Source organism: Homo sapiens, chromosome 14, assembly GCF_000001405.40.
Source record: "Homo sapiens chromosome 14, GRCh38.p14 Primary Assembly".
NCBI classification, from domain to species: domain Eukaryota; kingdom Metazoa; phylum Chordata; class Mammalia; order Primates; family Hominidae; genus Homo; species Homo sapiens.
This window is the reverse complement of record NC_000014.9, coordinates 54,732,599-54,754,742: the sequence shown is the minus strand read 5'-3', so window position 1 is coordinate 54,754,742 and position 22,144 is coordinate 54,732,599. Positions and strand designations below refer to the sequence as shown.

The 22,144-nt window shown below is 43.8% G+C and overlaps 1 protein-coding gene across 16 annotated transcripts in view; it reads right to left on the bottom strand.

Moving 5' to 3' along the window:
- Positions 1–22,144, bottom strand: part of SAMD4A (sterile alpha motif domain containing 4A) — a 228,000-nt gene that overhangs the window by 38,573 nt on the left and 167,283 nt on the right. For 9 of the 16 annotated variants that reach the window (XM_047431137.1, XM_047431136.1, XM_024449516.2 and 6 more), the window contains exons 4-6: positions 17,456–17,719; positions 5,819–5,928; positions 3,206–3,292 (exon numbers count right to left, since the gene is read on the bottom strand). In XM_047431137.1, the coding sequence (XP_047287093.1) occupies positions 3,206–3,292; positions 5,819–5,928; positions 17,456–17,719 (461 nt within the window). The remainder of the gene's footprint in view (positions 1–3,205; positions 3,293–5,818; positions 5,929–17,455; positions 17,720–22,144) is intronic. The other 7 variants (XM_047431140.1, XM_047431143.1, XM_047431144.1 and 4 more) reach the window with 1 other exon arrangement.

The following is a 22,144-nucleotide window of genomic DNA, read 5'->3' as shown; positions in this document are numbered from 1 at the left end:
TATGTGAGGTAAGAATATGGGAGGCAGGCAAGGGCAGATGACTTTTTTTCCAACAGCATCATCAGCCCAGCGGTGTCTGTGAATGCCTGAGAAATGGCTGATTTGAGTCTGCCACCGGTGCCGTCAGTGGTAACAGGTTACAAACAACTCACTCCCTTGCAAAGCAGGAGAGGTAGGGGTTCCAGAGAAGACAGAGGAGGGCCAGGGGATGCGTCCTCAGTGGATGCCTGAGAGAGACTGCCTCCCACCCCATCTCATCAGCTCACGCAGGGACAATATACAGGATGTCCAAACATTGGGGTATTCTGATGCAAGCTCAACCAGTCATCTGACACACATAAGCTCTCTTCTCTCTCAAAGAAGTCAGACTCGATAAACTCACAATTTCTTTCCACTTGACCACTGGCTGCCATCACACTTTGCTCTGCATGTGGCATCTTTTTAACTTTCCCATTCCAGTGAACAGGGGAGTCACTATTATTCTAGGTGCAAAATCTGGGACACGGAAAACATCACTGACTTATCAAAGGCTAGATGGAAAGTCGATGGCATGTCAGGGTCACCCTTGCTACCTGGTTGCCAGAGTGTTCCCCATGCTGACTTCTGCCAGGCTGCAGGGAATAAAGCTAACGGTAATTTGTCTCCCAGGTGGGTGCGCTTCCTCAGTGATGGAGGATATGAATGAATCCTCAAGGCTGCTCCAGAAAGAAGGGAAGAAATCACTCTTTTACCATAACACTTAGCAATGAAATCCTTATGCAAAATGTTTTCCGTACTTTCTAACAAAGAAAGAGTAAATTGGCCTTTTGAATGTTCCCCCAAAGAGAATGGTTTCTCAATTTAAAAATGGCAATAGTCACTTAGACAAGCTGCTTTCTAAAGTAGTATAAAATTAAAAACAACAACAAATAAACCTCAGGTTCAACTGGATAGCTCACTTGTAATTTGTAATTCACTTTAAGTAAGAAGAGGTCTTTAATCACGGATGTGCACGTGAGAAGCCTCTGTCTATCTGGCCAGAGGTTTAAAAAGAAACGTTTCTTACAAAGTTATATATGTATATTCTATAAATATATATATAACATATATGCATTAAAAATAACTTTATATAGTCTATATGTGTAGGGAAAAGAAAGAGAGATCAGACTGTTACTGTGTCTATGTAGAAAGGAAAGACATAAGAGACTCCATTTTGAAAAAGACCTGTACTTGAAACAATTGCTTTGCTGAGATGTTGTTAATTTGTAGTTTTGCTGCAGCCACTTTTCCCCAGCCACTTTGACCCAACCTGGAGCTCACAAAAACATGTGTTGTATGAAATCAAGGTTTAAGGGATCTAGGGCTGTGCAGGACGTGCCTTGTTAACAAAATGTTTACAAGCAGTATACTTGGTAAAAGTCATCGCCATTCTCTAGTCTCAATAAACCAGGGGCACAATGCACTGCGGAAAGCCGCAGGGACCTCTGTCCTTGAAAGCGGGGTATTGTCCAAGGTTTCTTCCCAGGTGATAGTCTGAAATATGGCCTCATGGGATGAGAAAGACCTGACCGTCCCCCAGCCCAACACCCGTAAAGGGTCTGTGCTGAGGTGCATTAGTAAAAGAGGAAAGCCTCTTGCAGTTGAGATAGAGGAAGGCCACTGTCTCCTGCCTGCCCCTGGGAACTGAATGTCTCGTTATAAAACCCGATTGTACATTTGTTCAATTCTGATATAGGAGAAAAACCGCCCTGTGATGGGAGGCAAGACAGGTTTGCAGCAATGCTGCCTTGTTATTCTTTACTCCACTGAGATGTTTGGGTGGAGAGAAACATAAATCTGGCTTACGTGTACGTCCAGTCATAGTACCTTCCCTTGAACTTAATTATGATGTAGATTCTATTGCTCACATGTTTTTCTCCTTATCATCACCCTGCCCTCCTACTACATTCCTTTTTGCTGAAATAACGAAGATAGTAACCAATAAAAACAGGGAACTCAGAGACCGGTGCCGGTGCAGGTCCTTCGTATGCTGAGTGCCGGTCCCCTGGGCCCACTGTTGTTTCTCTATACTTTGTCTCTGTGTCTTATTTCTTTTCTCAGTCTCTCGTCCTGCCCGATTAGAAATACCCACAGGTGTGGAGGGGCAGGCCACCCCTTCATATACGAAATTATACACACACACATCTTTGTGCACCTGCTGAAAAATTACCACTCCATTAAATGTTGATGTGCTCACAAAACTTGCTTTAGCGCTACCTCCCTCAATACTCTGTTCCCTTCCAAAATCCAAAAGCTCCCTGGGATTACTAGAAGAGGTTACCTCTAAAGCTCTGCAGGCTGCAAATACCCACAGAACTTCCCACTCACCACTCTTGCCTCCCAGTACCCATGCATAAGAATCCCAACCCTGAGGCAGAAGCAATGCTGGTTCACACTTGTGTGAGGCATGAGGCCTGCCCTCCTTTGGATCTTAGATGAAATCATGTCATCATTAAGTCCTAAAAATGACATTGTTACCAGGGCAGCATCCAGACACAAAGGTAAGAAGAGGACCTGTCTAGGCAGCAAATAAAATGGGACAGTAGGCAGCTGATCACTGCTTTTAACGTTGGAATAAACTTTTTTCAGCATTTAGCATTTTTGAGATGGTTCCTATCAGAGTCACAGGGACCCATTCTGTTGTTAAGTTAAAGCCTGGAATTATTCTCTTGAGAGCCAAATATGTCTGCCTGCCAAATGCTTTTGAACCCCACTATCTGCAGTGTACCTGTTGGTATTTACCACTCTGGGGGCAGCTTTTCTCAAAACAGACCCTCCCCTGGGAGGACAGTGAGACCAAAGCACACTGCATATTCCCTGCCCTGTTTTGCCAAGATTTCAGCCTCTGATTGTGAACTGGACACCTCACTGATCTCTACAAATGTATACGAGGCAGAGACACAAACGTATACAAAAAGGGTGCATTTGACAGCACTTCATCAGGGCTCTAGGACGGCCAGGCAAGGCAGCCTGGGCCCAGGGAATAAGCACACTGAGGCATCAGCTTTCAAAGAAGCACGTGCAACCAGGAAGTTTCACTTCAAAATCATTCCGTTTTCTCTGACTTTGGTAAGGAAACCACATGGTACGCTCTAGAAGGTCTGTCGATGACACTTCCAGTGGAGAATTTTCCTTGGTCCATTTTCCCATAATGAAAGTGGAAATGTTCCCTCATCCGATAACTTACCCTTTCCAAAGACTTCAGGAGATTTTGTCTTTCTTTGAGCTTCTGAATACTGATGACAATTTTGTGTCTTGCACCTTTGGTAACATTCTGTAATTAAATAACAAGTTACATTTAAATGTATATTTAAAAACATATTTTTAAGAATCAGCTTACAGATTCTTGGAGGCTTTTACTGTCTTCTTTGCTCCTATATGTTCACGGGCTGATCAATATCCACTTATCTCTTGCATTAGTACCCATCATCATAAACCTCTTCTTACTAAATATTATTATTATTTTTTGAGACAGGGTCTCACTGTAGTTGCTCAGGCTAGAGTACAGTGGCGCCATCTTAGCTCACTGCAGCCTTGACCTCCTGGGCTCACGTGATTCTCTCACCTCAGTCTCCCAAGTAGCTGGGACTACAGGCCACCAAACCTGGCTAATTTTTGTATTTTTAGTAGAGATGGGGTTTTGCCATGTTGCCCAGGCTGGTCTCAAACTCCTGGGCTCAAGCAATCTTCCCACCTCAGCCTCCCAAAGTGCTGGAATTCTAGGCGTGAGCCACCGCACCCAGCCATCTTCTTAATTCTAACTCCGTCTGGCTACATATTTGCCCGTGTCTTTTGACTGTGCTTTTTATCTGTATTCGTATCTTCCTGTATCTTAGAGAGAGATGTGGAACAGCCAATTATTATACCCAGCATGAAATTTCTTCACAGCCTTAGAAGATAATTTTTAAGTCATGCACTCTTCCTTTTCTCCAGGCTTTATAATTTCAGCCCCTCTCAGTTTCCCTAAAGGTCCCAACCCCATATAGATATTCATGGCTTTCTCAAACCCTCCCTGTGTTTTTACCCATCTTGAAAAGATGAGCAGCCCAGTAGAGTCCACATGGAGTGTCATAAAACATGGGGAATTTGTTAGTTTGCAGCTTGTCTTTTGTTTCTCTAAGGAAAACTAGAATAGAAAATTACTTAAATTCATAATTCAGTCATCTCTTCAGGTAAATGATTAGGATTCACAGTAAGAGTTGTGGATTTTATCTTCTTAACTGGGTAGCAATGGTGAGCCTAAGGATTTACTTAAATAGTTGTTGATAATAGATACTGCAAATTTCCTGATAGACAGCCGTCTCTCAAATAAGGTCTCTAACTCAAACATCTTGCAACTATTCCATAGAATTCTTCTTAAAGAAGGAAAAGATAGGAATATCAACAACATCTTTACTAGAAAAATTAAGACTCAAATGACACGTGAACCCAGTCTCTAAGATGAAACACTGGGGGTATATTTCTGTTTACCCTTAACTTTGGGTTCTAGTGAATTAAATTACTCTGAAAAGGTTGTGCTGGCCTCTGGCTTTGCCCTCAATTATTTCTTGTTTTTTTTCCTCAAGTCGAACAACTGATGACTTAGATTTTTTTCCTCAACTCTGACCCAAACACAAAAATGCTCTTAGAAAAGCTCTCATCAACCCCTGGGATTTCAAGGAGCAATCAAGATCCAAAAAGAGGTGGGAGAAATGTTAGGAAGTTGAAATGAGTGCCTTTCATTCTCTGAGAATGTGCAGTGACTTTGGGCTTTGTGTTGTGTCTCCATATTGGGAGTCCGCCAGGCCTGCAGGGTTAAATGAGGGTACCGAATAAGTACTGGGGAACTGGTGATCTGCGGGGAGGTATGCGTCCAGACCAGCCATGCCCAAATGGTACAATCTCCTTTTCCTGCAAAGGAAATATTCTTAGCCTATTCAGACCATCGATTCTTTTAAATCATTGCTGAAAGGAAACTGAGGCCAATGTGAAACATGCAAATAGCATTTTAAACAAGGGAAACAAAGACATTGGTCAGATCCATTTACCCGAGCACAGCGTGGTAGGAAACATGCTTAGTTTCAGGGGTTCTGTTGACTGGCCTTTGGCATCCACATCGGGGAAAGATGCCTTAGAAGGAAGGGGAACCTTTGTATTTTTATGGCATGCAGAAGGGAAATGAAATCTGAGACCTATGGAAATCTCATTCTCAATGATTGTCTCATGTTAGAAGAAAAAAATATTTTGTATAATTTACTCCAATCTCAACAAAGACTGGCCTGAACATGACTTTTTAAAAATGTTGGGGCGGGTCTGAGGCATGACCTGGTGCATCTACTCAGCAGTCCAGTTAGAAGCAGGCTGATTTGTAACTGGACTAGACAACAGACAATGGATCTGTCACTTCCCAAACAAGCCAAGCCCTGCTCGAGCAGAGGGAGGGAGAGAGCAAGAAAAGCAAAGGCAGGGATGTAGATTCTTTGTGGCATGGTCAAATGTTACTTCTCCTAGGAAAATCCACCGATTCCTCCCTGGCACCTGGAACTTTCAAGTGTGCCGAGATTATGCCTTTTCACACCACTTGATCTCACCCTCACGACCCTGCAGTTATCTGCTTGTCTTCCATCTCCTATTGGACCCTGAAGGCAAGAATCCACCCAGTTTTGCTCACCATGGAATGCTGGCCAGCACCCCACAGTTTCCAGCACAGGGCAAGCTACTGTGTGGGCATAGGTATGGGTCCAAACAAGGTTGTCCAGGCCTTGAACTTCAGGTCCTGCCTGGGGCACCCTCTCAGGGAACAGTCACCTCAAGCACATACCTGCGCCTCCAGCTGGCACTCGGTGAGGGCCATCATCTCCTCATAGGTCATCTGGGAGAAAAGCGCGGCATATTTGTGCAGGCGGAGGCTTTTCAGCCAGGCTGGAACATCTGTGGTGCAAGATGTGCAAGAGATGGGGAGAGAAATGAGAGGGAATGAGAAGAGATGACGAGAGATGTAGGAACAGAGAAAGGAAAAGAGGGTGATGGTCAAAGGAAAAAAAAAGAAAAAGTAACACCTTTATGTTACTATGTATTTAATTTTAGCTGAGATGCAGAAGTCTCAGGCTAGCCCTGACATTCCTACTGGTGGGCTCCTTTATTCTACTTAGACCAGGAGTACTAAGTTGGGGTCCATGAGCTTCAGGGCATTCAGAAATCCCCTAAAATTATATCCCAATTTGTGAGTAGATGGGGAGTTTTCTGGGCAGAGGGCCATCCATAGCTTCTATAAGATTCCCAAAGGGGTTCATGACCAAAAAGATGGCAGGGAACAACTGCATTAGCTGGACCGCTTCATCGAGTTGGAAAGAGCTGGCTTCGAATGTTAGAGCTACATGAGCAGACTATGACCTCAAGATAATTTTTGTACATTCAATGCAGATTTTCACACACTGTTTCAGCCACTCCTACAGTGATAGGAAAATGGTGGAGTCACTCATTCCTAGCCTGATCTTTCCCCATGAAAAATGCCTCCCTATATATACCTGAATGGGAAAAAGGGCATCCTGATCCCCAAAACTCTTTCTGTCGTGGGGGTGTGTCCGCTGACCATTTCTCCAAGCTATGGAATGTATCCGGATGCATCTTTGACTTTTTACTTGATTGTCAACCAAAAATATATCAGGACTTGAAAGGCCCAAAGATTGGCTAGGCCATAGGATAATGGAAGTTCTAAAGTGCATCTGAAATAACCCCCAAGTCTGAGATTCTAAAGTTAAGAAAAGTAAAGGGTAACTGCATTGAAAATCCACAGGAGAACTATTACCTTGTTAAATAAAACCAAAACAAAGTATTTGCCCATATTCTTTCAGTCAGAGTTTGTGAGCTGATAGGATCTTTGGAAAGTTTCCAGAATCATCTTCCCTCATCCCTAGATCATTCTAAAGATGGCGAAATGAAGTCATTAATCCTAGATCACAGAGCAAGTGTGTGGTGAAATGGCAACCAGAACCCAGATCTCCTGATTCCTAGCTCATTCCTACAATGTACCAATTCTTATAAAATGAGGACCAAACAGCCTATCAGTGGCTGAAAAACAGTGGCTGTAAACTACTTTGAAATGCTAAAGCATTGGGTAAATGTTATTCCTGTTTTTTATGAAGTATTATCTATTACCAATCATGTCGATTACAGGATTCTATCAATTGCTAAATGCTTTATTCTGAGGCACTGACCACACACATTCCAAAACAAGCGAGCACCTTCCAATTTTTCAATGTTTAGAGTAGATAAATGTTGAGATTGATGAAAGAGGCCTGGACTATTCTGAAATCAGGCCCTGCTTCCTGAGTGAACCAACTCTAGGTTTAGGGAATGCGGGTATGGGATAATCTCCTGAACTCAAAAGACTTAGGTGGGGATGATGGGCCTGGTGAGATTACTTGTTGATTTGCAGTAATGCAAAGGCCAATGAAGGGGAATTTCTGGAGAATTGAAATTGGACAGTCAATGGCATCTTAAGAACAGACTCAGTTATCTCAGGCTAGAAATCACTCCATTCTGTGCTTGAAAGCCCTTCACTCTACTATGACAAGCAAGAGTCCCTCTGTGACCATTATTAACCACAAACAGACAAGGCTTCCCCAACACATCATACTAACCCCTTACATCATCCTCACTCAAATTGCAGTTGGATCAAGAGTCCAGGACATGGCAGCTCAGGAGTCTGGAACCTTCTATCCTGCAACATCCTGGAGCTATTTCACCAGGCTTCATTTTCCACCATGCTTTTATTTCTGCTGAAATAATGCTAATGCTTCTGCAGAGTGAGCGGCACTGATTTTAACTACAGCTTTGGCTTTCAGGCCAACGGCATGTTACCACTCTGTCACCAGGTTTCACGTTTGCTATTTACATCTTGAAAGTCCCAAGTCACTGCTCAGAAAACTCAATGATCATGATTCAGAGAAGCCTGGGTAACCCAGTGCTGCTCTTGGGCACAATTCATCACAAAAGAGAAGGTAGCAGGCTCTTGGACCAAATTTTCACTGGGTGCCCTACAGCTGAACCATGCAAAATCCATTGATGATGAACAGAATCCTGAGCTATTGAATCGTGTTATAAACATGGTGCTTTATAAACCAAGGTGATAACGTGGTGTTTTAAGAGTCAGAAAGTGTGGGTTGGAGTGCAAATCCCAGCTCAATCAGTGCTAGATCCTTTTCTATAAAACTATTTTGACAAGTTAGAATTGCCCTGGTTAGAGGAGTGGAAGAGCTGGCCTCATTCATTTAGTCAAAACACTGGGAGTAGTTTTCCTAAAAAAGGCTCCTATCCAACTTCAAAACATGATGAGTTAGGCCTTCCTGAAGAGTTACTTCTAGATGCATTCCTGGGCAATGTAAGCTCCTTTTGGCCCTGTGTTTCTTGAGGCAGGTACGCACGGACACTGTTTTTAGAGCAAGCATTGTCCTATCTCAGTGCCATGTGCTCAAAGAGCACTCCCTCCTGTAAGGAGAACGGAAAAACAAAGAAGAGGAAATCCCAGTTCTTAAGAACATAGCCTACTAACCTTTCACCCTCTGGATTGTGGTGAGGTACCTTCCCTTGCCAAGGATTAGAACAAAACTGTTAAAAGAGAAACAAACCAGAGAAGCAAGAGCCTTGACCATTTCATTCCCCCAAAGTCAGGAATTCTAATGACTTGGATGCTGGATTCTGTAAGCTGTTGGCCAGGGATAGACTCAAACTAAAAGCTCAGGTCCTTTCCCATGGTCCAAATGCCACATTGTTGGATGCAATGCTAAGAACCACCTACTGTAACTTCCCATCTACCTTTTACATTCTGTGAAGCTGTGGGCTGTGGCTATGGTTGGAAAATGCAGGCAAACAGGGAGAAGCAGAACTGTTTCCTGCAGAAGCTGATATGTGATTGAAGGCATGCATGCCTCTGGTTGGCACACACCTGTTTGGCTTCCTTGGGGTCAGTTTGAGACTGGGGGTCTCAAACTAGAAAGTCACTCTCTTATGCAGTGTGAGAAAGATAAAGATGCTTTTGCTATATGCTGGGCTGACTTCTTTGCCAAGTGTGGGAATCCTGATATTTGCTCATTCAACATTTATTGCATGCCTATTATGGGGGCCAAGCTCTGTGAAGACATGACCCTTCCATTAAGGAACTTTTAATCTAGAGAGAATGGCTGACTTATACAAAAATTATAACAGCAATAGGACAAGCGCTGAGTATACATAGGGTTCTAGGGGAGCACAGAACGATGAGCCTTTTGGTTTGCCATGGGGAGCGAGGGGCAGCTTCAAAGTACAATAACTTGGTGTCTCCACTAGGATGGCCACAGTGAGGAAGCCATTTCAGGAAGCAGGAAGGAAACACAGAGTCAAGAGGGCATTCAGGGTAGAGCAGACACATGGGTGGATGGGGGAATGGCTAGAGACAAGGTGGGTCAAATAGGCAGGGGGTCAAATGGCTGAGATATGCAATGCTGAACAAAGAGAGTCGACTTCATCTTGTGGGTGGTGAGAAACTGCTGAAACCTGAGTAGCAGAACACAATCAGATGAGTGTGCTAGAAAGGCAATGGCTATCAATGTAAAGGCTGGCCTGGCGGATGGTGACAGTGAAGGCCAGGACCTGAACTTAAGGAAGATCCTGATGATGGCTTGGGATGCGTGGCAGGGGAGAAAGAAAGGATGGAAATTGACAGTACTTGAAGATCAGGGAAGAGCAGGGAGTGACAGAGACAAAGTAGCTGGAGATGACTCCTTTGATTCAGGTTTGGTGAGACAGAGAAAACAGGGGAGCAGCAGGTTTGGGGTGAGAAGAGAGAGAGGGTAAACTCCATTTGAGATCAGCTGGCTGTCAATGCCTTTGGGTCATACAAGGGGAGAAGTCAACCAGTCAAGGTCTTGGAAGAAAAGTCTGAGCTGGAGAACGAGGTTCCTTGTCAGTAGTTCATGGTGGTTGTTTTAGCCACAGAAGTGGGTGAATCTCTCTGGCAAAGAGCATGGGGTGAGAGCCATGCTAGAGCTCTGGGAGTAGCAGACTTTCAGGGGGAAGTGCAAGGAGAGAATGCCAACAGGTAGGAGGTTTCTGGGACAAAGCACCACCATGCATGTGCACATCAGTGGGTCTCATCCCACAGTCTTCATCCTTCAGAAAGCTCCTAGACCTTGCTGCAAGTCCACACTGATTTATCTTCTCATGGTCATTCTTGATAATAGTGCTACACTCATCTTGTATATGTTCTATATTTGCCTGCTGGTCTTTACCAGTGGGATTCAGTTTTAAATCATGCTGATTTCTATTTCCTTTTTAGAATTTAGATAAACCAGCCACAGGGAGGCTGTGCGGTGTGTACAACAGTTCACACAGAAGCAGGGCTCCAGTTAGAACTGGGAGTGCTTGTCTCTAATGCATGCTGCAGAAATGGCTGCAAATTTGAGTCAGATCAACAGACCATGCAGCACCCGACCCACAAACAAGGAAACCCCAGAAGACAGAAAGATGGGATCGATATTGCTGAAGAGCCCAATATCGAATGCAGCATGAAGGGCAGGGAGAAAGGCATCTCTGGCAGACAGAAACATGAACAGCCTTGTTCCCACACAAGGGCTCACGTAGGGGTGGTCCTGGTAACTGCAGATGGAAGATCAACTCCCATTCACCACAGCAAGCCAGACTGCTCTCAAAAGCTCTCTCCCTCCAAGATATGACTGCACCCTTGATCTCTGAGGGGGAGAAGAGGAAAGCCAACTGAGGGGTAAGAAGGTACCCACTCTTCACTACTGAAGTGGGATGGAAGATGTTCCTTTCAAAAATGAAGAGAAGTTTAGCAGCACTGTCAAGGTTACAGAAGCTTGTCTTTATTTCTGGCCAGAGCAGAACAAGCAGCCCAACTCTGTTCCAGCCTTTGTGCAAAAGAGAGCAGGATTGGTCTTGGGCCTCGTTGGAGCTGGATCCTCCTCAGTGTGCTCCTTGATACTGGGAAGTGTCCATGGAGGCCTCTGGGGAGGCTCCAGGCTTGTAGGAAGCATATATGGGTCCTGGAAGGTGAGAGGTGGCCTATTTTGGAGTAAAATACCCACTTTGACATGTTAGACACAAAGAGGGCCTAACCTTCTCCCCGCAGTTTCCGTTAGAGATGACAGGCGAAAGTGCTGTTTTAAAGCAGCCTGCTTTGTGTCATTAAACAGTGGCTGTGTCCACATCAAAGGCTGCGCCTTGTGTGCCTGCACAGTCCTTAAAGCTTCAGAGGAAAATACATGCTTGGTAAAGAGTGGAGGTTAAAAGTCTCAGGACTTTTCGAATTTGGGGGAATCCTGAGGACTTGCTTTTCAAAGACCTCAGGGCTCTCAGCCTATCAGAGAAGAGTTAGCACAACTCCTGGCCCAGGGGCACTCATCCCTGTGGGTCATATCTTGGCATTTGGAAATTAAAAACAAAAATAAAGCACATTTATTCAATACTGGCCTTCCTTTAAGTGAATTCGAGCAGGCAGCTAGAAAGTCAGCATCAAGAAAATAATGACCAGTTTCAATGACAGCCATGCTGAAACATGTCCCAGCCACTCATGGAGCTTTGCCACTCCCACTCCATCACTCAGACCTCTGTGACCCTCAGAACTGCTGTATCTGCAACCTTTCTTACAAAGGTTTCTGACAGGTTCCTTTTTCTTAAAGAGGATCTCACCTCTCCATAATTTTTCCATTCTCATTCTGGAGAAGCAGAGGTTCAAAGGTCTACATTTCAAAAAGAACTGAAAACCCCAAACCCGCTATTTCAGAGTAGACCACATATTTCCTTTACTACAGAGAGAAAAAGTTTTTCTAAGTTTCATCTAACGAAAGTCTCCTTAGAAAAGGCAAACAACATATTTTCACAGTCAATGGCCCCTCCACTCTTAATTGCTATATTTCCATCAAGGTTCCTGGGGCCAGTTGTTTCTTTTTCTACTTTTATCATGTCTATACACAAATAATACATCAGTTTCAATGACTTCTACATTTGTGTGCTAACATAATGCCAAACATCATAAGCATACTCAGTTGGTGTTGATTCGTAACAGTGAGGCTGAAGCTCGCAGCAAGAGAAACAGAGTGCCAATCTCTACCCCTCTTCACACAGGCAAGTACAACAAGAAAGTCATAGAGCTCCTTGCTTCCTAGGAGCCCAAATCTATGGCTTTTTCTACCCAGCTATCTGGAATGAAGTCCCTCAGATGAACTTGGCTTCAGGTAAGTGTAATATTATGCTGAAACTGCAGGCGAGGAGAGGAAGTCGGGGCTGTTAGTGAGGCTGGGTCAGCCAAGAGCATGGTGCACTGTGGGGCCCACTGAGGGGGTTGCACACCTCCACTGGGATGTTCTACAGTTCCCACACTCACCAGGCCCCATGCTGCCCCCCCCATTCTATTTCTCCTCCTCTATGTCCTTTGCCTTAGATGACACCATGGCTTATCCATATGTCCCAGGCAGACACCTGGGCATCATCCTAAATTTCTCCTGCTCCATCACTGTCTATTCAATTGGTTACCAAGCCCTCTCAGCTCTATCTCATGAAGAACCCCGAATACTCCTTTGTCTCTATTCTCACTGCTGCTTGCATCGGTCCCACTTCCTTTTCCCCCTCAATTACTGAAACGTCCTCCACCTCTCTGCTGGCCTTCAAATCTGGAATCCTCTGTCCCTTCCGCACTTTGATGTATATTCCACTCTGCTTTGAAGGTCATATTTCTAATATGTAGACCTAAGCAGGTCATTCTGCTGCAGAAGTTCCTTCAATAGCTTTGGGATAAAAGAGAATGTCCTTTGCAAGGCCCAGGGTCTGGTTTCTCCCTCTCCAGACCTCTTTTTCCCATGTGCCCTTAACACTCAAGCCATGGGATCCACTTGGTCAAGCACCCTTGTCATTGTGATTTCGTGAATGCTGTTCCCTCTACATAGAATGCCCTTCCTTCACTTACTATTTGGCTGACCTGTAGTCATGCTCTGAGACTCAGCTCTAGGCCTCTCCTCCTCTAGGAACTTTCCTTGACTTATCTCCACTTTGAATGAGGGTCATTCATGGTGCCTGCCCTGACCCAGGGCAAGTCTTTAAGACAGCATATTTTCATAGCAGGGCACTTGCATTAAGTGCCTGTTTTTTGCTCATCTGATAGTGATTCGCTTCAGGCAGGAACAGTAGCTCTCAGCCCTGTCTGCCCAGAAACTAGTTAGTCCAAAGTTTCTCTCAGCAGGTGCTCAAAAAAGTCAACTGACTTGAATGAGGACAAAAGTAACCTGTGAATGAGTCTTTTCCCCTGCTCTTTCCTCCCATATAATGCAGCCACATCATTCATCATAGCTGTGGCATTTTGTTAAGTCTTAGCGTGTTGGGTTTATGTACCATCTTTGAGAACATGGTGCTAATGTAAGTGGGAAATGTGCATCTTCTGCCAAATGACTTCTATACTTTCTCTCCAGGAAATTAAGAGAACGTCTTTTCTCTCTCTCTTTTTCTTGGCCACCTGAAAGTCTTGTATGAGACAAGAGGCAACAGAGCACATTCCACTCATGAGTTGCCCAGGGAAAGAATGGTATTACTGTTGAGTACCAACTCACAATTGAGAATCTTTCCTCTGAGATAAGTCACAGTGAAGTTTTTGAAATGAACAAACACAACTGGATGTAGAAACCAAACCAGCCTCCTTAGTCCAAACATGTATAACCAGTAGCCTCCACAGGGAAGGGTAAAGGGAAGAAAGTTCCTATTTCAGTTGTTTCCCACTTCTCTTGGGTTAGTTTCAAGCTAAATTGTGGATCTCATTTTTTCTTTAGCTTGAGATATTAGCGTGAGATCTTTACCTCAAGAGACATTTAATCTGTACTTTGAAGTCTACTTAAACCATAAGGATGGACATTTACTAAAGAAGGAAAACCAAAGCACTGTGGGCAGATGTCATTAATCCTTTGAGAGTAGGAGCTGGTCTGCTTGGGAGAGAACTTAGTGACAGTCCCTGGCAGGGAACGCTAACACCAAGACAAGAAGGGGGCTTGATCCATGCATGGGAAAAACGCAAAGAGCAAGAATGCTGGACCATGAGATTTATTCCATACCCTTGACCCAAGAGGCACACTCCTAACGGAGGATGTGTAGCCAGACCTGGCCAGTCTAGCTAGATGAAAGGAAGGAATGGATGATTACCACAGTGTTTCAGAGAGATATTCACAGCTGTTGGCCATAAAGAGGAATTCACACTAAATAAAGTTCAACTATAGTAACTTTTCATTCTTTTCCCAAGGTGCACGATGAGAGCAAGACACATTCCATATGGATTTGAGAACTCTTCCAAATTCTACTAAGCTTTCTTATTGTTCTTCTAAACTGGACGTTTAACGATTAGAATAATAGCATTAGATGATGGCACCCCAAAGTGGACCAGCAAGTACTTTAAAACAGCTGACACTCCTGCCAAAGGGCCTGGGTCATAGAAAAGAAAGATTGTAGAGCCAAGAGGAAGAGTCAGCTCTTTTTCAAAGCACCTCACTTGGTTTTATATCTCATTTATTTATTTTTATTTTTTATGTTTTTATTTGAGATGGAGTCTCACTCACTCTGTTGCCCAGGCTGGAGTGCAGTGGCGCGATCTTGGCTCACTGCAACCTCTATCTCCTGGGTTCAAGTGATTCTCCAGTTTCAGCCTCCAGAGTAGCTGAGATTACAGCTGCGTGCCACCACACCTGACTAATTTTTGTATTTTTAGTGGAGAAAGGGTTCTGCCATGTTGGCCAGGCTGGTCTCGAATTCCTGACCTCAAGCAATCTGCCTGCCTCAGCCTTCCAAAGTGTTGGGATTACAGGCGTGAGCCACCGCACCCAGCCATATCTCATTTCTTTAAAAGTGTGAATTATTTTGAAAATTTAAACCAGCACCTGCTCTTAGACACGGAGATCAAATGACAAACCCTTGGGTTAGGAGCAGGGCTGCTCCTTGGGTGCACTCATAGGAAGTCGTTTTGAATAACATCTGGTGGCGGAAGAGTCCTCAGCAATGGCATCTTGCAGCAAGGCTGGGGAGGGACATTTCTATTGAACAAATACTGGCCCGTGACACTTCGGAATGCTAGTGTTTTTGGGTGTGGACATTTTTTCTGTCTGACCTGTCAGCTAAACTGCAAATATACTTTTCCCACAAATAGAATCCTTCATCATCTATAATGTTTCTTCCTTCAAACTTTTTTTTTTTTTTTTGCCATTTAACTTGCTATTGACTTTATACTTGGAATCCCAATCCAAGGAAGTTCTTGGAAGAAGGGAAGTTCAATAGGTCAGAGAAGGTGGAAATACAGCAGGCCATCAAATAACCTGTTTTCTGGCTGCACCCCTTGGGCCTATAAAGAAAATCCTGGATATGAGATCTTGTCTGTGCCATTTTTTTCTGACTGAATAGGCTCTGAGGAGACAGTTCTCACCAATTCTAATGAAAGGAATCACAGAGGCTTAGATATGGTATATTCCTTAACCTTTGCAATATTTTGGCTTTTGTCCCAAAATGGGGATAGGGCATTTATTCAACTTTTCTCTCATTTCTCTTAAAAAACCTGTTATCTTTATTTCTCACCTCAAAATGGCAGCACTCAATGAGCATACCTTGACCTACTTTGGGAGAATGTTGAAAGTGTGCATAAGGGCCTCAAAAAAAAAAAAAAAAAAAGAAAAGGAAAGAAAGAAAACAAAGTAAAAGGAAGAAGAATAAGTGTCCAAAAACCAGACAGTGGAATCAGCATTCTTCTTTGGACAAGATCTTTCTCCTGGTGAATGGCCCTTCTATAGGATCCTCCTTACCCTTCAAACACAAAGGCCAATGCTTCCTCCCCACAGTTACCAACTAGAACCGCAACACAGGCTTTCTTGGAAACAGACACTGAACTTCACCTGGAAAGAAGCTAGTTAAAAGCAACGGCTGTCTCAGCCTCCCTTGGTCTTTCAGCTATTTTGATGCCGATTGACAGATGCCAAGCCAGTCTACCTACAGCAGGGTTGAGCCTCACCTGCTACGCATCACCTGGGGCTCAGCTGCTTAAACACATAACCATGTAGCATAAAGTCAGAAGTGGGTTTTGCTAGTGCTCCAAAATTGTGATACAGTCCCCTGAAAACTCTGAAGTAGAAAGAGGACATACATCCCCTTCGTACCCAAGTGACACATGGCTTTTGCTGCCTGTTATATACCTTTAAAGACCCATTTGTATCAGCATTAAGACACATCCCCTCACTCTGGGCACTCAGCCCTGGAACCATCAATGAAATGGGGGTGGGATGGAGAGGACACAGGCCTAAGCAGGAGGAAGATTCAAGGAATGTGCCAGGGGAGCAGCTTCTTGTCAGCCTCATTCCCAGAGTTGACAAGCTCCATTTTTTCAGTCCGGTGCTCCCTTATAACCAGTGGTTGGGCAGTCATGGGCATGCTTTCTGTGCCAGGCTTCCGTGAAGGGAGGGGAATCAGTACAGAGCTTCCTATGTCAACACTGATCATTCACAAGGGGAAGATCGGAAACAGCAAACCTCAGGACTATTAATGCCAGCAAACAGGATGTTCTCAGAGCCTCCCTTCAGCATGCTAGTCCCCAAAGCATGAGTGGTTACTGTTTCACCATCTAAAATTGTTACTAGTGTGTCTCTGAATGTGCATCTTTGCCTAAGGGCTTCCCAGCCCTTGTACAAGTGGAGTCTAAAAATATAGCATGCACGTATCCTCTTTGTACCTATCATAAGTAATTTGGAAATCTATCTCCTGATGAATATCTTTTAGAAGAGGGTAGATTCACAAGGCAATGGAGGAATTTATTTATGCTACACAAAAGGCCTTTATCACCTGTATGCAAATCTGTTATCAGGATTAAAACACTGTTAGAGATTCTCAGTGGTATTTTCATGTCCCTTAAATAGATGCAGAGGAAAGGGTTTAAAGGTTTCTTTGGATATCAAAGAGAAGAGGAGAGAGAAAGGAAGCACTACTGCAATTCTGCATTAACATAGACTTATAAAGGAAAAAAAAAAATCCCGTGGTTTGTTTTTCTGAATTACTGACAGGTCCCTGGCCACAGCAATGAGGTACAAGGTTGGAGCAGCTCAGTAGCTTTACAAACAGAAGATCCTATCACCATTAGCTGTGACTCATTTAATGGTCTACAAGTCACTGCAATGCAAAAAAAAAAAAAAAAAAAGAGAGAGAGAGAGAGTGGGTTGACCTCTCTTACTCTGGTTCCTATTTCCCAGATTTTGGCAAGAAGCACTGGAAGGGGAATCTGAGCCCTTTCTGCCATGGTCAACCTGGAGTTCTGGAAGGGACAGATCAAATGCGTAAGCCTGGGGAAGGGGTGGGCTCCTTCTCTCTTGCTGACTACCTCTCTTTTTTTACCCTCTGGTCTCCAATAAAGGGAGGGGCTCTTTCCCCAGTGGTTTCTCATTTAGTCACTCACCTTTCATCCCACTACCTTCTTCTTGGAATGTGTTACGAGCAGTGGTCTGATCTTCTAAGTGTTCACTCCCACCACTTCCTGAAGAGGCTACACTGCTTTGTGGAGACAGGGGGGCATGATCGGATGGGAGGCACTGGGGTCCTCTAGCTCGTAAGTCCTCATGAGACATCCATCCATGTCCTAGAGGCTGGTTTGGCACATTCATGGGTGGGGTAAGGGACACAGATCGTTTCAAAGGGCTGTGGTGTGCCTGGCCTGAGAGAACTGGAAAAAAAAATAAAATGAAATAGGTTATTCCCCCCCCTTTATCCTGGGACACCGAAGAACCCACAATACCTCTTAACCCTGAGAGATACCACTAACTGTCTTACAACTCCATCCATGGTCACAGCAGGTTGAATACAGGCCTGGCATGGTCGTTTTCTTCAGGTGGTTTAAAAGGATGCAGTCTGTCCCTCTCAGTGGGTTAGGTTTCTCCAAGGAGGCCAAACCTATAGTGCCCACACATTGGTCCTTAGCCTTTGTGGGTCTGGATCTGGTTTTGGTTCTAACTCTAGAAATCAGGATTCATAGGACGGGGTCCGTAAATCAGGCAAGGCTTGACAGCCATATCTGCCAAAAGCAAAAAGAACATGTACTGGACAAGTTTGTTGCTGTTGTTTTTTAAACAGAAATTCTGACATTACCCATGTTGTTCAGGAGGACATCTTGAAGGGCAGCCGGGCTGGCCATTGTTTGGGATCTTTGCAGGGCTGAACCAGAAGAAGGTGGACTAATCTTTCCAACCAGGATTCAGGGAACTATGGCCTCTGCAGGGTGGTATGGCTCAGCAAGGGCCCCAGTACTAACATGACCTCAGGGTATGGGGCACTGCAGCTACCTGTCGGTGAAAGGGCTGCTTCTTCTAGGGCCGATTCTTTCCCTTAGCCTCACAGGTTAATGCCAAACTTTGTATTGCAAACACTTCCAGGTAACAAGGCTTTCATTCAGGAAGCTGGGAATGAATGGTTTTTACCAGCATGTTCAGCCCTTCTACACAGTGGGCAACATCTGCGCAGCCCCCATCTTTAATTTCTTTTCCAGAAAACTAGGAAAAAGCAACATAACTCATATAACTAGCCAAATTAAATTGAAGTCATTCGAGGGAGGGATTTAACAAAAACCAACACTGAAGGAGCCGATGTTACCCTTGGTTGGTTTTTCTGGTGTGTAAAGTGACAACTTTACAAAATAAGTCTATTCATAACATTCTCTCAGCACCAGTTCCTGACAGGTCCAGTTTATTTTGACTGCTGCTGTACTAACACGGAATTGAGCCACATGCATTTTTAAACATTTTTCAGGGAAGCCATTAAATTCCATCTCAGGCTGTATCCCCATCCATGAGGCATTTGCTCTCCCAAATTTAGATGAGCACTTCTTTGTGGGTGTTAATCTGTGTTTTTCAGTAAGCAGACCAGGCATCTCAATGGTGAGAGGTCCTGCTTTTGGTTAAACCATATTTCTGGTAGAGCAGTCCCAACATAAAGGCCTGGGCAGATTACTGTGTTCCCTACTTCAAAAGATAAAGAGCAGAGTCAAAAGGCTGGATGTTTCCAGAAAGTGTGTCTGGGGCAGTAGTGGGCTGGGTAAGCTGCTGCCAGGCAGCTGGCAGTCACCAAGCCTGAGAGCCACGGAGCTCAGGCCTCTGTGGTCAGTGTTTCCATTTGGCCTTGTGTGGCCAGAAGGGCAGCCTTGTATGTGAAGTGGGGACAATCGGAAGGGCTAGAAACTTCTTTATGAATGAAAAGGGAGGACAAAAGAGAGCTACCGAGTTTAGTATTAGTAACCTGAGAAATTTCCAATTTGGGTAGATTCTATCAAAGGCAAGGAAATGTCATCTAAATTAAAAATATGCAAAGGGAACATTGTTTAAAAAATATCGACACTAACAGGCTTAAATGGCTTGCATTGCTACTAAATAGACTCGGGAAGAAACTATTTAAAAAGGCTCCCTGGAAAATGCATTGCTACCTGGTTGGACCAGAATTAGCAAGAGGAAAAGTGGGGGGAAAGCAGAGAAAGAAAAAAAAAAAAACGAAGCGGCAGCAAAAATGAAAAGAGAAGCCAATAGGAAGAAAAGCCAGACATCCAGAAAATCCATTTCATGCCTGTCTAAGTATTTATATAAAATTGGGCAGACTGTTTACGGCTGCCCTGAGTGCTGGGACATTCCAGCTTAGACATCTTTGCTTTCTGGTACTTCTGCAACCGTTTCAGACTATCTGGTGGATGCTTTGACTGGTGCCTGCCAGGTGTACCCCAAGTGGAAGTGGGGGTTCCTCTGTATAGCCAGGATTAGAGTCAGTCTGAAATCACAGAAACAGGGCTTGTCAAAGAGGGACACACAGCTCAGAGACAGTGGGACTCTTAGTACCTGGGCTGGTTAGAGGCCATAACTGAATAGGTAACTAATCGCTAACCACGGGAGGTTACTGCTAGGATAGTCCTCATCTTCACATGGATGCTGAGAACAATACAATACGTACACTGTACTTGAATTCCATTATTTCATGGAGCCAATATGCTTCTTTCCATCTGATTTTTTAATCCATGCTATCTCCTCCACTGAGAGGCATCCTTGGGGAAGCTGTCAGTTATCCAAGGACTTCACTGGCTATTGAGATTGGAGCTAAATGTTTACCTAACTTAATGGACTTACAGGGATTTGTACATAGAAACCCACACCCATTTCTTCATACTTTTCTGAGCTTAACTGAAGTCATAAGGGATATGACATGAACTTGGCCTCTGCCTCTAAGGAAACATCAATTATACCTGAGGTGCCAGGGTCTTTTCCTGATGACTTTCTATAAAGGGCTCATACACTCTATATCATAATGAACACTTCTTGGTTCCCACTGCTGCCACCAAATTCAGGAATATCTCCGTAGGAGCCAACGTGCTGTGGCAACCAAGCACAGTGCCTCACACCAAGCTTCTGATTTGCAGACAGGGCCGTGGGTTTAGAGCCAGGCTGAATGCCACACCTCAATCAAAAGTCGTGCTAGGTAAATGCCTCTGTTCTCCAAAGGAACCAAGGCCTGGAGGCAGTACAGGCTTGTATTCTTGTGGGAAGGAGATTAAAACAGGTGACAGGTGCCTTGGCGACAGTGCCAATTTGGGGTGAAGACAGATCTTCAGGTTTAGGCAATGGTGACCACAAAGCTGATTTTGGTGTTACCTCTTGTGCTGGAGCACTTTGTTTGGCATAAAGTGACAGAGGAAATACTGTCATGGGCAGAAAGAGGCTACAAGAAAATAGGCCATGCAGTTGTGGAATTGACGAGGGGGCCAGTGGCAGAGTAGCAGTGGTTGTTTCATCCCCAGCCCCTCCCCTTTTTAAACTAAGAGATCTCATTTGAAGTGATGACAAACAGAGGGTCATATGGACATTCGGGCAGAAGTTTTTTTTTTTTCCTATGAGTAGGCAGGAAGAGTAGTAAATACAGACTTCTGAGAAGCTTAGCAGTGTGGTGCTAGCTGCCCCAGCATGTCTCTAGCCAGAGGCTTCTAGATGTTCTTGCTTGTAGACTGATGTGCAGCAGACAATGGCTAACGGTTCATTCAGACCTCAGCTACCCAGAAGTCCTATTCAAATGCTGCCAAATTAAGTATACCTTTAAAAAAAAATCTCAACCTAGATTAGAAATTGGCAAGTCCAGCAGAACTGAGGTCCTCAATTTATACTGCATTTGTGACTTTCATAATAGTGTGGGTAGAGGGACAGCATATTTCAGGATGGATTCATTATATTGAAAAGCATACTGAAAATTACTCAGGGGAACAAAATTGTGCCTTTTTCCTCTTAAAACATGGAAACCAACATTTAATAATTGTATACAGTATGAATCCAAAATTGCTTGTATTTTTAAAAACCTCTATAAAAATTTTAGATCCGTATATACACATATATATGCCAGTATGCACGCATGCATATATCATTAGGACACTAATTTTTGGAACTTTTTAAATTCAAATGAATCCGAAGTAAATAATAAGTATTAGGTAAGTCTAGTTGAAATATGGAAACAGCAGTTAAAAGTAATCTTGCTACAGCAGTCGGGCAGTGTGATGGGAGTTCAGAGGTTCTTATAATCTTGTTTTAAACTTGGTCATACTATCAGGACCAGTCAACTCTTCTGACCTCATCTAACCTAATGATTTTTTCATCTCCTAGCATCTTTAATGAGAACTCTTTCAGCACCTTTTACGGGGAAAATATGACACCTGGCTCTGCATTCTGTTCATTTAAGTATTTTCTTTAAACCCTGGGATTCAGATTTCTTTCCCATTTCCTTTGACCAACTTTGACTCCATCTCGATTTTATTTATTGAAATAAGAGTCAGGAAAAGATGTTTCAGAATATTTAGTACTCTTTAAGGAAAATTAACTATAACTACCTTTTTTCTGCCTTCTAATATGAGAAATAAGGGGGTTTATGGATGGAAGAAAGTCTGGGATACTGGCCCAACTATCTCCTTGGTTCATTGTTAGGTTAAATACATACCTCACTGTCAAGGAGAAAAGTGATCCACATAAGCAAATAGTCCAGATAACTGAAGCTTGAGTCTTACACCAAAACTTTATCCCAACAAACTTTAACAAAGATTTGTCAAAGATACATTGCGTATTTCTCTGCTATCTTT